This window comes from Homo sapiens, chromosome 16 (assembly GCF_000001405.40).
Source record: "Homo sapiens chromosome 16, GRCh38.p14 Primary Assembly".
NCBI classification, from domain to species: domain Eukaryota; kingdom Metazoa; phylum Chordata; class Mammalia; order Primates; family Hominidae; genus Homo; species Homo sapiens.
This window is the reverse complement of record NC_000016.10, coordinates 74,021,919-74,034,135: the sequence shown is the minus strand read 5'-3', so window position 1 is coordinate 74,034,135 and position 12,217 is coordinate 74,021,919. Positions and strand designations below refer to the sequence as shown.

Here is a 12,217-nt window from a genome sequence, read left to right as displayed (position 1 = left end):
AACAACAAAAAAGAAATGTGTAAAATAACTCTTTAAAAATACAGTAACTAATATAAGGGGATAATACTCAAAAACTTATGTCTTGGGAATATTCCAGGAATCTGGAGCTCACACCAATTTTCACGTTGTGAATGCAAGTTTGGAAATACCTTTGAGAATTTCTTTTGCTGCCTGCCTGCCTATTTACTTGCAAGCATTTTCTCCATTTCTTTTTCAAAGCAGTTAGAAAATGTGAGTGTGTGTGTGTGTGTGTGTGTGTGTTTGAGAGAGAGTGTGTGTGTGTAGATGATTTTGTGAAATGCCATTTATTTATTTGGCTCTCACTACCTAGTTTTTATTAACGGGCAATTATATAACAAGATAATGTGAGCACAAAATTTATTGTCTCAAAATGAAGAGGAGGAACTGTGAGTGGTTCAATTTTTGAAACTTGCGTTTTTGGCGCTGGCTCTCAAATCATGCAGCTTTGTAGTCTGCGATTTATGACGGCTGCGGTTGAGCCAGGTGGAGCAGGAGCCGCAAAACGGCAGGACAATTACTGTAAGGAAGGATCATAGAGAGGCCTCTGTCAGTTTCCAACGTGAAATTTAATCAGGTTACATAGAGTGATGTGATCTATGTTGTTAGCCCATTCTGAAACTATTTTGAAAATATAAATTATAAACCTTTCAAAATTTAAAACATAGGGAGAGTCAGAACTGCATATATTACTGTCCAGATGTTTATTTTTGCAGCCATGAATTTTCATATAAGCAAGTTTATTTTAACCAAATGACCCATTCTATGTTATGTGGATATTGCACATATAATCATGGCTGTTAGTGTCGACTATTAAGAAAGAATTTCATTTTATCAAGTTTATTATGATCAACTAGCCTATTCTTGATCTTGATGTTGACATGGTCCTATCATCATTGCCAAGCCCAACATATAACTCTTTTCCAGAACTATAGAATAATTATAAAATGTTTATATACACCAAGCTAGCTTATCTTTGAGGGGTATGTTTTCCTGTGCTGGCATTAACAGTTAAACATTGCCTTTGCCCTTTAATCTAAACGAATCTTAAAAAGTTATTTGTGCCATATCCTTTTGTTTGAAATGAACACTGCTTAAAACTCGTTGAATATGAAAAATTAAATATAACAAATGTGTAAAGTATTAAGTTTTCTAGATATTTAAAGAGTTATCAAGTTAAACTGGTTATTTTTCACTAAAAATGGATGACTTCCAACCTGAGAAATTCATGTGCATTTTGTTATGAATATTGATACAACTGATGAAAATGGTGTACTCTGTGTATCTATATGAAGGGATGTGTGCATGCACATATATAATGCATAACACCCTTTTCTACCAAAAAATATGCTTAGTTCCTTCCATGGCTAATGAAGTACACTTAATCAACTATTTATAAATTAATACCCTTGCCAAAATATGTTAACTTTTATGGCCTATCAAGTGTACCATGCATACTATGAAATAATACAGCAGGGTTCACCCAGTGCCTCCTGACACCTTGGGAACAATGGGTACAGAGGAGTGGGTGGGTGGCTTTTACATGGCTTGAAAATTTACAGAATCTTCCAGCTCGTATATGTGTGTGTTATTGAGTGATCTTACCACGTTAATTTTTAAAAAGAACTGTTGAGAATTTTAAGTATACCTTTACATTATGAAAAAGCATTTCATAAATATTTCTAAATTTTTTTTCCCTGCCATCTCATGAAAATTCAATTTAACTAACTTTCACATTTGATGGGAAAAGCAGAAGCATCCAGCACTGTGGTCACTGCTCTGTCTTGAGTCTGCGTTGTACTGGGTTTTCTTGCCACCTTCCACAGCTGAGTGCAAAAAAACACAGTGGGAGCTCTGATTTTTTCAGCCATTCTATATCTTTGTTGCTGCTAGACTTTAATTCTGCCCGAGTTTATAATATTTGTGTTTGCTCTTATTACACCGAAGAAATTCCTTGGAATGCCTACTCACTTTCTCCCTATTCCTTTCATTTGCAGATGAAAGGCAAATGCAGATTTTTAAAAAATAAATAAATACAATATGGTTAGGACCATTCATCACACTCTCTGTCTGCTGGGTCTTTGTTTCTGCTTCATGCTGTGTGCATTACATTACATTTCTGAACCTGTTGTGAGTTTTTTTTTCTTTTTTTAGCACTTTTCTTTTGTAGTTTATTAAAAATATTTTCAGTCAGCAGAAATCCCATTGGTTCTTCTGGAAATCTTGCCTCACAGGCCTTTGCAGGACAAGAACAGATTGTCTGGGGCCTAATTCTGAGCATTGTTTTTTTATGAGAAAATCAAAAGTATAATTGTTAAAACCCAGTGTGTCCTTTTATGTCTGCAAAGGAGAATTAAATTGCTGGTGGCAAGGCAACGGGAGGGAGGGAGAGAGAGAATGTGAGGCAGGCCCTCTGGAATTGAGAGTTTGTGGTTGAAAGTAAAGGTGAATAGCCTTCAGAGTGTATACAAGTGAGTATACATTTGGCAGGTAGATCATGGGACCCGGTGAGGACAGTGCAATGAGAATCGAGAAGGAATACATACAAAACCACGGTCTCTTTGGCTATTGCGTTTGTTGCCCTCAGATTCTTTCTTAAAAGTCCCATTTTGCAAATGGTGGGTACAACTTTCTGATTAAAACTTAGAAGATGGAATATCAACTACTTAGCAACTTTGGTCCCATCTGAGAAACAAGTCTTTATATGCTTGGGGACTTTTTACTTAGACATGTGCTTTTTTCTAATCTTGTTCATAACAGGACTACGCTAGCTCTTTGACCTGTGCTTTTATTTTTAATTCTGGGAGGAAGAGCTGGGAATTTCAGTTTCATTTGCGCTAATCCCACTTTATGGACGTGATAACTAAATGGGGTGTCTTGATTTAAGACTTGCAGCATGACTGTTCTAGGTTCCTGAATTCAGAGTAGTTCTAAGACCATCCCCAGTGGTCTGTCTTCCCCCAGAATATTCAGACAATCTTCATTTTTGCCAGATGACGTATAGTATCTCTGTATTTTAGGGTGCAAATGCAAGACCCAATAGTCCATGCACACACTTCATGTTCTGATTTTAACTGGGATGCAACAAAATAGACTTAAACAACAAAAGAGAGCATGTTGTGAATCCTGACAAAACCTCGTGGTGTGGTTTGGCGGACAAATGGTTAAAATATACACTCATTGGAGTATGAAGGCAGTTCTTCTCGGCTGTCAGATAGTTTGACCAGTGTCAGGCTATCCCGACGAGAGCAGCATACCTTCATTGCATCATAAATAAAACAGACAAATTACTTTTTTTTTTCCCTAGGATGGAATAAGCACCATAGAGGGGGGAGGGAAAAGGATTAAGGGGGGGGGATCGGTGATTTGGAGGGTGTGTGTGTGTTGGGGGAGTGAAGAATTAGAGGGGAAAGAAAAAAAAAAAGAGATCCTTTCAGCCCCTCTATGAATCTCGGCATGGCAGCCGAGAACAATGAGAAAACCAGGCAATTACCTAGAATCCTGTTCTCTTATCCAGACATAGAAAATATATTCTTGCACCAGCCAGCCTTCCCTCCCCCACCCTGGCCCACCCCCTCCCCTTCCTGTCTATCTCATTCAGTTCTTTCGAGGAAGGCCTAGCAAATGGAACAAAAGGAGAAGGGCTTCTGATGATGGCCCACTCAGGCAGGACTCGAGGGCCCAGCCTTCCACATCTGCAGCGGGAAACCTTTTTTTTTTTTTTTACATTCTGTGCCCTTACAGACTTTGGTAACCTCTGACGTTGTAGCAGAGAAAAATGAGCAGAAAGGCAGTTCACAGCCTGAACTCTTTTTCCCCAATTCCCTGAAAATCAAGGGGTGAGGACAGTAAATCACCTGGCCCAAGTGCACCAAGCCGGACACAGCCCTTTGGCCCCTGGGCACTCTGCCCTAGGGTGTGACTGGAATTCCGGGCTCTCAAACAGCTTTACCCAGGTGCCTTCCTGAATTCCACGGAGGATTTCTGCTTTGTTTCTTAATTGCTGGAGTCCTGCAAGGGGTTGCCCCCTGCGCAACCTTGTCCTTTGATGGGGGGGACTGGTGAATGAAGGTGCAGGTTGCATTGGTGATTTGGAAGGTTTTACCAGAGTGGCTGGGAGTCTACCCTTGTTTCTCTCCTTTGCTTTCTGGCCACAGCACTTAGGACATGTTTAGAAGGATGAAGGGTAAATAACTCATTCCCTCCTTACACTTGGAATGTGTGTGCCTCATTATTATTTGCTGAACAGGAGCATTTGATTAACCAGTCTGTTGAAGAATAACATTTAAGTAAGCATATGTGTATGAATCCCTGTCATTTATCTTCCTAGGTGGCAAGAGTAGACCTATATATAATTTCCTGAACCCTACATCTACCTCCGCCCACAATTGGGAAAACTTCTTTTGCGTTGTCTGAACGGTGATGGTTTATCCACCATTCACACTTCTTGTCATGACCAGTAGTTCATAAAGTGAGATAGCTGCCTGGGCTTAGGGTGTGGTTGGCAGCTGCTTACACGAATTCCTCTCTGCACACTTTACAGTAGCCATGCAACCGCTATAAAAAGTGGCATACCCAGGCTTTCCCATGGCAATACTTACCCAAGATGGTGCTAGAAAGAGACTTACGTTTCTTCTTGATAAAACAATTGGCAACATTTTAGAGGCTAGGCGATTGCTAAGACTACCTCCCTGCATTAGCCAAACAATGCTTGTTGGCATTTGTTTACTTATTCACCCTTTTCTTTTAAGTAAGATAGATTTACTGGAAGACTGTTGTTTCCAGTGAGTGGTGGTGTTTGGTTTCAAAGTGGATGCAAAGTGCTTTGACATGTATTGTGCCTTAAAGTGTGATTTACATCTCATGTTATGTAGTGTTTACCGTATTTCTTTTCACAGCCTGGTTGTTAGTCATCAAAGCCTGGAACCCTGGTTTGGACTGCTTTGTATCACCCCAGGAGATCTAAAGGTTTGGTGCTGGAGCCCGGCTCAAAGTCCAATCTTGCCTCTTGAGTTGGTGTGACATCAGGGAAATTGATAACTCTTCTACTTAAGCTGAGCCTCAACTTGTCTGTAATTGTGGGGACAAAAATCCACCTGCAGTCTGGTGAAATGTAATAAAATAAAAGCCTATCATAGCACTTGGTAAACTAGCAATGTTAGCTGTAGTTCCTCTAGTCTCTACTCATAAACATTGGTTGATGGAGGCCTCAGTTGAATGACAATAAGCCTAGCCTAAGCAGCTGTTTTCTCAAGGGAGTTGTATGGTTTAGGAAAAGCTCCTAAAAATAGAGATACTTCTGGATAACTACTCGAAGGTATGTTGGAAGATGACAGTACTTGACTTAGAAGTCACCTGAAACAGCTTTAAATGGCCAGATAGAGCTTTCTCCCTTTCTCTTTAGAAGTCACATCTGAATTTAACCTCAGCTCCAAAACTCAGTGCTAAGGCAAACTATAAAATAATTACATGAATGAGTCCCTAGTGCAGTCTGAATGTTTATATAGCAGATTCATCATTTAAAAAAACTGATACTCCTTAGTAGTGCTTCCTCAGATATCTTGACCAACTGAATTGGACCGCCTTGAACGCCTCTTGAGTGTTTTCCTTTCAGGGTTTATTTGCTGCTCTCCATCACAGATGAGCCTTCCTTAAGTGAAATCACCTAGCTTCCCCAAATTGAATTTCTATCAACTTTGTGTTTTAACAAAACCTCACCACAGTTGAAGTTTTTAATTGTCCAGATAATTGCTTTCAACCATGCTGATTTCTGAATTCCCACCCTTGGATTCACTCATCTTATTAAAATCACCATCCCGCCTTACTTTTAGAGTGGGAGAAGTTGTACACATGCTATGATGCAGCCTAATGCAGCCTATCAGATAAAACCCATGGAGCTGATCAGAATGGCTTTCACTCACAAGTCTCATCTATGAATGAAGATGTATAAAAATTCAGAGAAGTTCCACAAGTTGGGCAGAAAAAAGCAGAATGACCTTTTTGGGGTGATGGTTGTGCTGAAATGGCTGCCCCCAGTTTGTTTGGACTAGAGATTGAAGGTGGCCTGAAAGGATCCCAACCCTCGCCCCCGACTCCCAAAGACACTTCAAGTCCTTAATCGCATGAACTTAGGTGACTGTAAAATACTGGAGTGAACAATTAAAAAAATTAACTAGGCAGGGTGCGGTGGCTCAGGCCTGTAATCCCAGCACTTTGGGAGGCCGAGGCGGGCGGTTCACCTAGGATCAGGAACTCGAGACCAGCATGGCCAAGATGGAGAAACTCCGTTTCTACTAAAATTACAAAGATGAGCTGGGCATGGTGACACGCGCCTGTAGTCCCAGCTACTCGGGAGGCTGAGACAGGAGGATCGATTGAACCTGGGAGGTGAAGGATGCAGTAAGCCAAGATCATGCCGCTGCACTCCAGCCTGGGTGACAGAGGGCGACTCCGTCTCAAATAAATAAATAAATAAAAGAAAATAAGAATTATCTAAAGTAATAACCCCATTTTACACTGGCATTATTGTTTTAAAAATGTATTTGATAAAGTTGTATGCAAAAAAAACTTGCTTCGACTTTGGAAGAAGAGCAGAAACAGAAGGAAAGGGTTAAAGATCGTGCATTACTTAAATATACATTAACCCTTTCCTAAAATGCTTCTTGGATGTTGAGATTTGTTTTTTAAATATTGGAGAATTCATCGGAGGACAGGGGATGCTATATCATATTAAGATCACAGTTTTGTGGATCTGTGCAAGGCTTTTCCTTAATGTAAAGGTTTGCAAGAGCCTTTCTCGCTGCTGGTAGGCTGGATTTTACATGATAACCTTTAGCATTGTTGATACCAACCTCGGTGGCATTATTATTGCTGTTTACAGTCATGTGCTAGTAATGTTAAACCCGAATGGGATTAATAAAATAAATTAAGTGATAAAGATTTTAATGCTATTAACAATTGGTAACACTTGTTGACAGCACAAAAAAAGGAATAGCAGGCCATTTGCCAGCCTAGGTAAATTCTACAGTCTGTAAATAGAAAGATTTCCTGCTAATTCATTTTGATAAACTTTACTTTCTTCAAGTGTCTCGCCTGCTACTTTCATATTCTTTTTCTTCCTTCCCCCTTCCTTCCGTTCCTTCCTCTCTTCCCTTACTCATCTTCCCTTTTTCTTTCCCTCCTCCCCTTCCCTTTTTCTTATCTCTCCTTTCCTTCCTCCCTCTCTCTCCCTTTCTTCTTTTTCTTCTTCCTTCCTTCCACACCTTCCTCCCTGTTCCCTTTTCCTCTCTTTGTCATTTCTCTGTGTGAAGGTGCATTCTTCATGATCTCTCCTCTTTACTGCTTTGCTGTTACTCTGTGGTTATTGTCTGGAAATTGACCATTGCCTAGCAATCATGTGTGTGACTTCTGCCAATAAACCTGCTGGCTCAGCCTCCTTCCTTCCTCAGCCCTCTCTGCTTCCTTAGCTAGTGCTTTCCTCACTCCCACTGTCTTCTGGCTTCCACCTCAACACTCTTCATCCTCCCGCAGATGCTTCCTGGGGTTCTTTTTGAAATGGATGCTAGCCTTTTGTTCCAGTCCCACTCTGAACTGCTGGGGTCAGGCAGCTAGCAGCCTCCCTGGGGCAGTGCTATGATGAATTTTGGCATGGCCAGGCTGTTTAACAACTGCATCGCAGAGTGCCAGCTTCCTCAAAGATTAAAAAGAGCTGTGATGAGCTTTTTCCAAAGGTTCCACTCAAGTTTTGAAATGCCAAAGATTCCCGTGGATCTCTAAATTATGTGGTAATTTTTCAAAACCACGCCTACCCAATAAAAGCAAGTTTTCTTTTCCAAGAAACATACCTACTCTGTGATCTTATTATTGAAGCACTTAAATTTTCCTGGGATCTATGTCATTTGGATTCAATAATTTTTTATTTAAAAATTTCAAGTCCTGTCAACCTTTTTATTGCAAGAGTCAATTTTGTCTCATCTTTGCTGTCATTCACATGCTTTCATCTTTTTAAAGTCACAGTTGTCATAAAGGACTCTGTCAAATAATTTTTTGAAAAACCTTAGTCATTTCAGAAGCATTTAGAAAGTTGTCTGTATTGAGTGCAATTTTTTTTGAAGGTGGAGTCAGTTATTTCAGCCCAAATTAGTTAGCTCTGCAAATAAGTGGAAAATTATTTAAATTAGGAAATACCGTTTTCTTTTATGCAGTAAAAAATGATCTTTCAGAATCACTTTATCTTTTTATACCTGCCTCTTTGGAGCATAATGTGGCCAGCAAAGAGGTAGATAATGGTCTTTCATTGGACCTCCTTATGGAGTCAGGCAAGGTAATACTGCTGGGGACCTTCTGATGTTAGTTATGAATGAGAAAACATTTAGACTTATTTTGTGTGGCTGTGTGCAGAGAACAGAAGCATCTCACATCACACGGCCTTTTTGCAAATCAGGGCTGTGCCTTTCAGCTGTGCTTCAGGGACATCATCCCAGCTTCTCCAGAACTGGAAGAATGAGAGAAAAGTCTGTCTCTCTCTCTCTCTGTGTGTTTGTGTGTGTGTGTGTGTGTGCATGTGCACGCATGTGTGTGTGGGTGTTTCTACTGAATGTGATGAGTGCTCTCAGGAAGGATAACTTGGGCTGGAGTTAACAGCTCCATACCCTCCTTCTTATCCTTTCTGGTATTCATTAAGTTAATATACTGTTGCCTGCATGGAGCACCTTCTTTGATGGCGAATACAGTTAAATGCCTATTTAGACATGTCACAGACTAACCAATGCAAGAAGGTGCATGAAGTGTGGCAGGGGGCTGGGGGAGGTGAGGGCGGCAGGAGAAAAAAGTGTTGCTCTCTATTTTTTAACTTAAAAATGCTTCTTCTGAACAATCCTTTGCAGCTGGCAGAAGGCTAAAGTTTCTCACACTATGAAAGGAAGTCAGACCATAAATAAACCAGTCAAGCACACCTGGAAAGAATAAAATGCCTTTCTGGGCTTTACACTGTGCTTAGAATGGATGCCAGTCTAGTGAGTGCGTTTAAATGCTATGGAAGAATGTGTAAATGCCACATTAGTATAAAGCTGGCAAAATGTTTCCATTTTTAATCTCCAATTTTTAAACTGATCCTTTATGGGAGAAAATATGGAAAGGCATTTTTCAAAGTTTAATATCTTGCTGTCCTGGGTGACGGACATCTTTCAAAAAGTAATGACGGAACAAGACAGAAAGGGGCAGTACTTCCAGAACCAGGTAGAAACTAACTAACCTTCTAGAAGTTGTTAGGATTTTCACACTTACGGATCTAATTCAAAGAACAAAGATAAGCAATACATTTGTCATCTGAAGTGCGTAAAAAGACCTAATGTAATCCAGTGAGCATTAGCCCTTTCTGCCTCATCTCCTCTTAGGACATCATGCAAGATTTTTTTTTTAAAAAAATCACTGAACTGGTCAGACACAATCTAAATGCAGTTCTAATGTGGGGAATCATGGAAGCTTCTGTTTAATCACTGGCTGTCAGTACTATCTGTGAATTCCATCCCATCTGGCTTACGCCTTGTGCAAATTTTAAGTTAGGGTAACGCCACCTTCCCAGAAGTTAGGCACAGCTGAAACAGGTCAGCAAACTTTCAGCTGTGTTACTTTTGTCTGAAAAGCGTGCATTTGCCACCTCCTTTATCTGCGCAACAAGGTTCAAGTCTGAGCCACGGGTTGGAAGAGGGTAGTGCATTATATGGTGGGCCCAGGCACGACTGTGGACTATCCGCTTCCCAGGTGAAGAAATGAGGGCTGGTCTTGCATACCCCATTCCTTATTCTGCTAACTTTGCCCTAGGATTCCAAAGTCCAGGTGGAAAAGAAATTTTTCTTTTGGTTTGATCTATGTCAACTTTTATAGATTAATGCCAGCTGCAGGTTGATTGTTACATTTTTAACCATTTATGGGTGTAGCAGGAAAGTAAAAACAAGTATGTTTGGGTCTAGCTGTTCCATGGTCACATTCCTCCTTCCTTCCCAAGCTCATCTCCTTTTGCTGCCTCCTTCCAGTGGCAGGCAGAGATTCTCTGCGTTTCCTTGCCTGGTTCACTTTCTTAGCGCACCTGTGTACAGAGGGAGATTCTGAGCTAAGGAGGTCTCAAGAGAGTCACTGTGGGCTCCCTTACAGAATGAATTTACCTTCTTTACCCAGGTAGTCTGTCCCCAAAACATGGGCTCTGCCTCCCATCGTAAAGTCTGAAGACGATAGGAAGAAATGAATAATTATTAAGCACCTGTTAGTGGCCAGGCATTGCCAGGACCAAATGGTACTCATTTTCTTTTTTTTTTGAGCCATTGTGATCGTGTCTTTGTTTAAAGGGGTTTTTGTTGACTAAGAACTTTTCGGAGAATCAGTATCTCTTTATGAACTTTCATAGACTAACATTTCCAGATGATTGTTTTGTGCCAGACATGTTGTTAGAATTTTGCTTTACTTTATACAATTTCATGTACTTGAGGGGAGAAAAGTCTGAATATTTGATTTTTAAAATACCAACTTGATCCTTCTAAAAAGAACAGGAAGAAAATAAAAGAAGAAAGGCTTACTGTCAGCTAGTTCATTCTGTGAAAAAATGGTTGGATGTTTTGATCTTCTAGTCCTTTACTCATTTTTTCATTCAATAACTATAAAGTGGGTACCCCCTTTATGCAAGATGTTCATACTTAGTATCATAGGGGAATAAAAGAACTGCCAGTCAGGCCAGGTGCGGTGGCTCACGCCTGTCATCCCAGCACTTTGGGAGGCCGAGGCGGGTGGATCACAAGGTCAAGAGATCGAGACCATCCTGGCCAACATGGTGAAACCCCGTCTCTACTAAAAATACAAAAAATTAGCCGGGCGTGGTGGCGGGCGCCTGTAGTCCCAGCTACTCAGGAGGCTGAGGCAGAAGAATGGCGTGAACATGGGAGGCGGAGCTTGCAGTGAGCTGAGATCGCGCCACTGCACTCCAGCCTGGCGACAGGGTGAGACTCTGTCTCAAACAAATAAAGAAGAACTGTAAGTCACCGTCCTTATCCTCATAAAATGTATACCCTAATATGCATCATTTCCAGGGATGTGTTGTAATTTTCATTTATGTTAACAACTAAAATTTCTGGATCAAGATTTTTTTTGTTTTGACAGAGAGATGAAGAAACAAATGAAAACATTTGTCTTTTTTTTTTTCCCAGAGTAATGATAGTTCCCACTGATCTTTTTTTATTACGTGTCTTTTTCTTTTTACCTTTTTTTTTTTTTTTTTTTTTTTGGTGATAGGGTCTTCTTGTGTTGCCCAGGCTGAAATGCAATGGTGTGATCATGGCTCACTGCTACCTCCATCTCCTGGGCTCAAGTGATCTCCCACCACCCACAACCAGCTCCCAAATAGCTGGGACTACAGGTGCATACCACCACATCCAGCTCATTTTTTTTTTTTTTTTGAGATGGTGTTTCAGTCCTGTTGCCCAGGCTGGAGTGCAATGGCCCGATCTTGGCTCACTGCAACTTCCACCTCCTGGGTTCAAGCGATTCTCCTGCCTCAGCCTCCTGAGTAGCTGGGATTACAGGCACTGGCCACCACAGCCAGCTAATTTTTGTATTTTTAGTAGAGATGGGATTTCACCATGTTGGCCAGGCTGGTCTCAAACTCCTGACCTCAGGTGATCCACCCACCTCGGCCTCCCAAAGTGCTGGGATTACAGGCATCAACCACCACGACCAACCTAATTTTTTAAAACTTTACTTTTTGTAGGCACAGGGTCTCACCATGAGACCACTATCTTGTCCAAACTGGTCTAGAACTCCTGGGCTCAGACAGTTCTTCCACCTTGGCCTCCCAAAGTGCTAGGACTGTAGGTATGAGCCACTGTGCCCAACTGTTCCCACCAATCTTAAATTTTTTTTTTAATTTCTTAATTTTTTTTTGAGATGGAGTCTCACTCTGTTGCCTAGGCTGGAGTGCAGTGGTGCAATCTCGGCTCACTGCAAACTCCGCCTCCCAAGTTCACGCCATTCTCCTGCCTCAACCTCCCGAGTAGCTGGGACTACAGGCGCCCCCCCCACCATGCCCGGTTAATTTTATTTTTGTATTTTTAGTAGAGATGGAGTTTCACCGTGTTAGCCAGGATGGTCTCAATCTCCTGACCTCGTGATACACCCGCCTCGGCCTTCAAAAGTGCTGGGATTTACAGGCATG

The 12,217-nt window shown here is 41.1% G+C and overlaps 2 annotated features.

Annotated features, from left to right (window-relative positions):
• Positions 4,489–5,367: an enhancer, noted in NCBI's record as "NANOG-H3K4me1 hESC enhancer chr16:74062668-74063546 (GRCh37/hg19 assembly coordinates)". NCBI's record gives its function as "activates a minimal SCP1, AML or CMV promoter by ChIP-STARR-seq in primed H9 embryonic stem cells {active_cell/tissue: H9 hESC(primed)}" and the evidence as "EXISTENCE:reporter gene assay evidence [ECO:0000049][PMID:30033119]".
• Positions 7,266–7,869: an enhancer, noted in NCBI's record as "OCT4-NANOG hESC enhancer chr16:74060166-74060769 (GRCh37/hg19 assembly coordinates)". NCBI's record gives its function as "activates a minimal SCP1, AML or CMV promoter by ChIP-STARR-seq in naive H9 embryonic stem cells {active_cell/tissue: H9 hESC(naive)}" and the evidence as "EXISTENCE:reporter gene assay evidence [ECO:0000049][PMID:30033119]".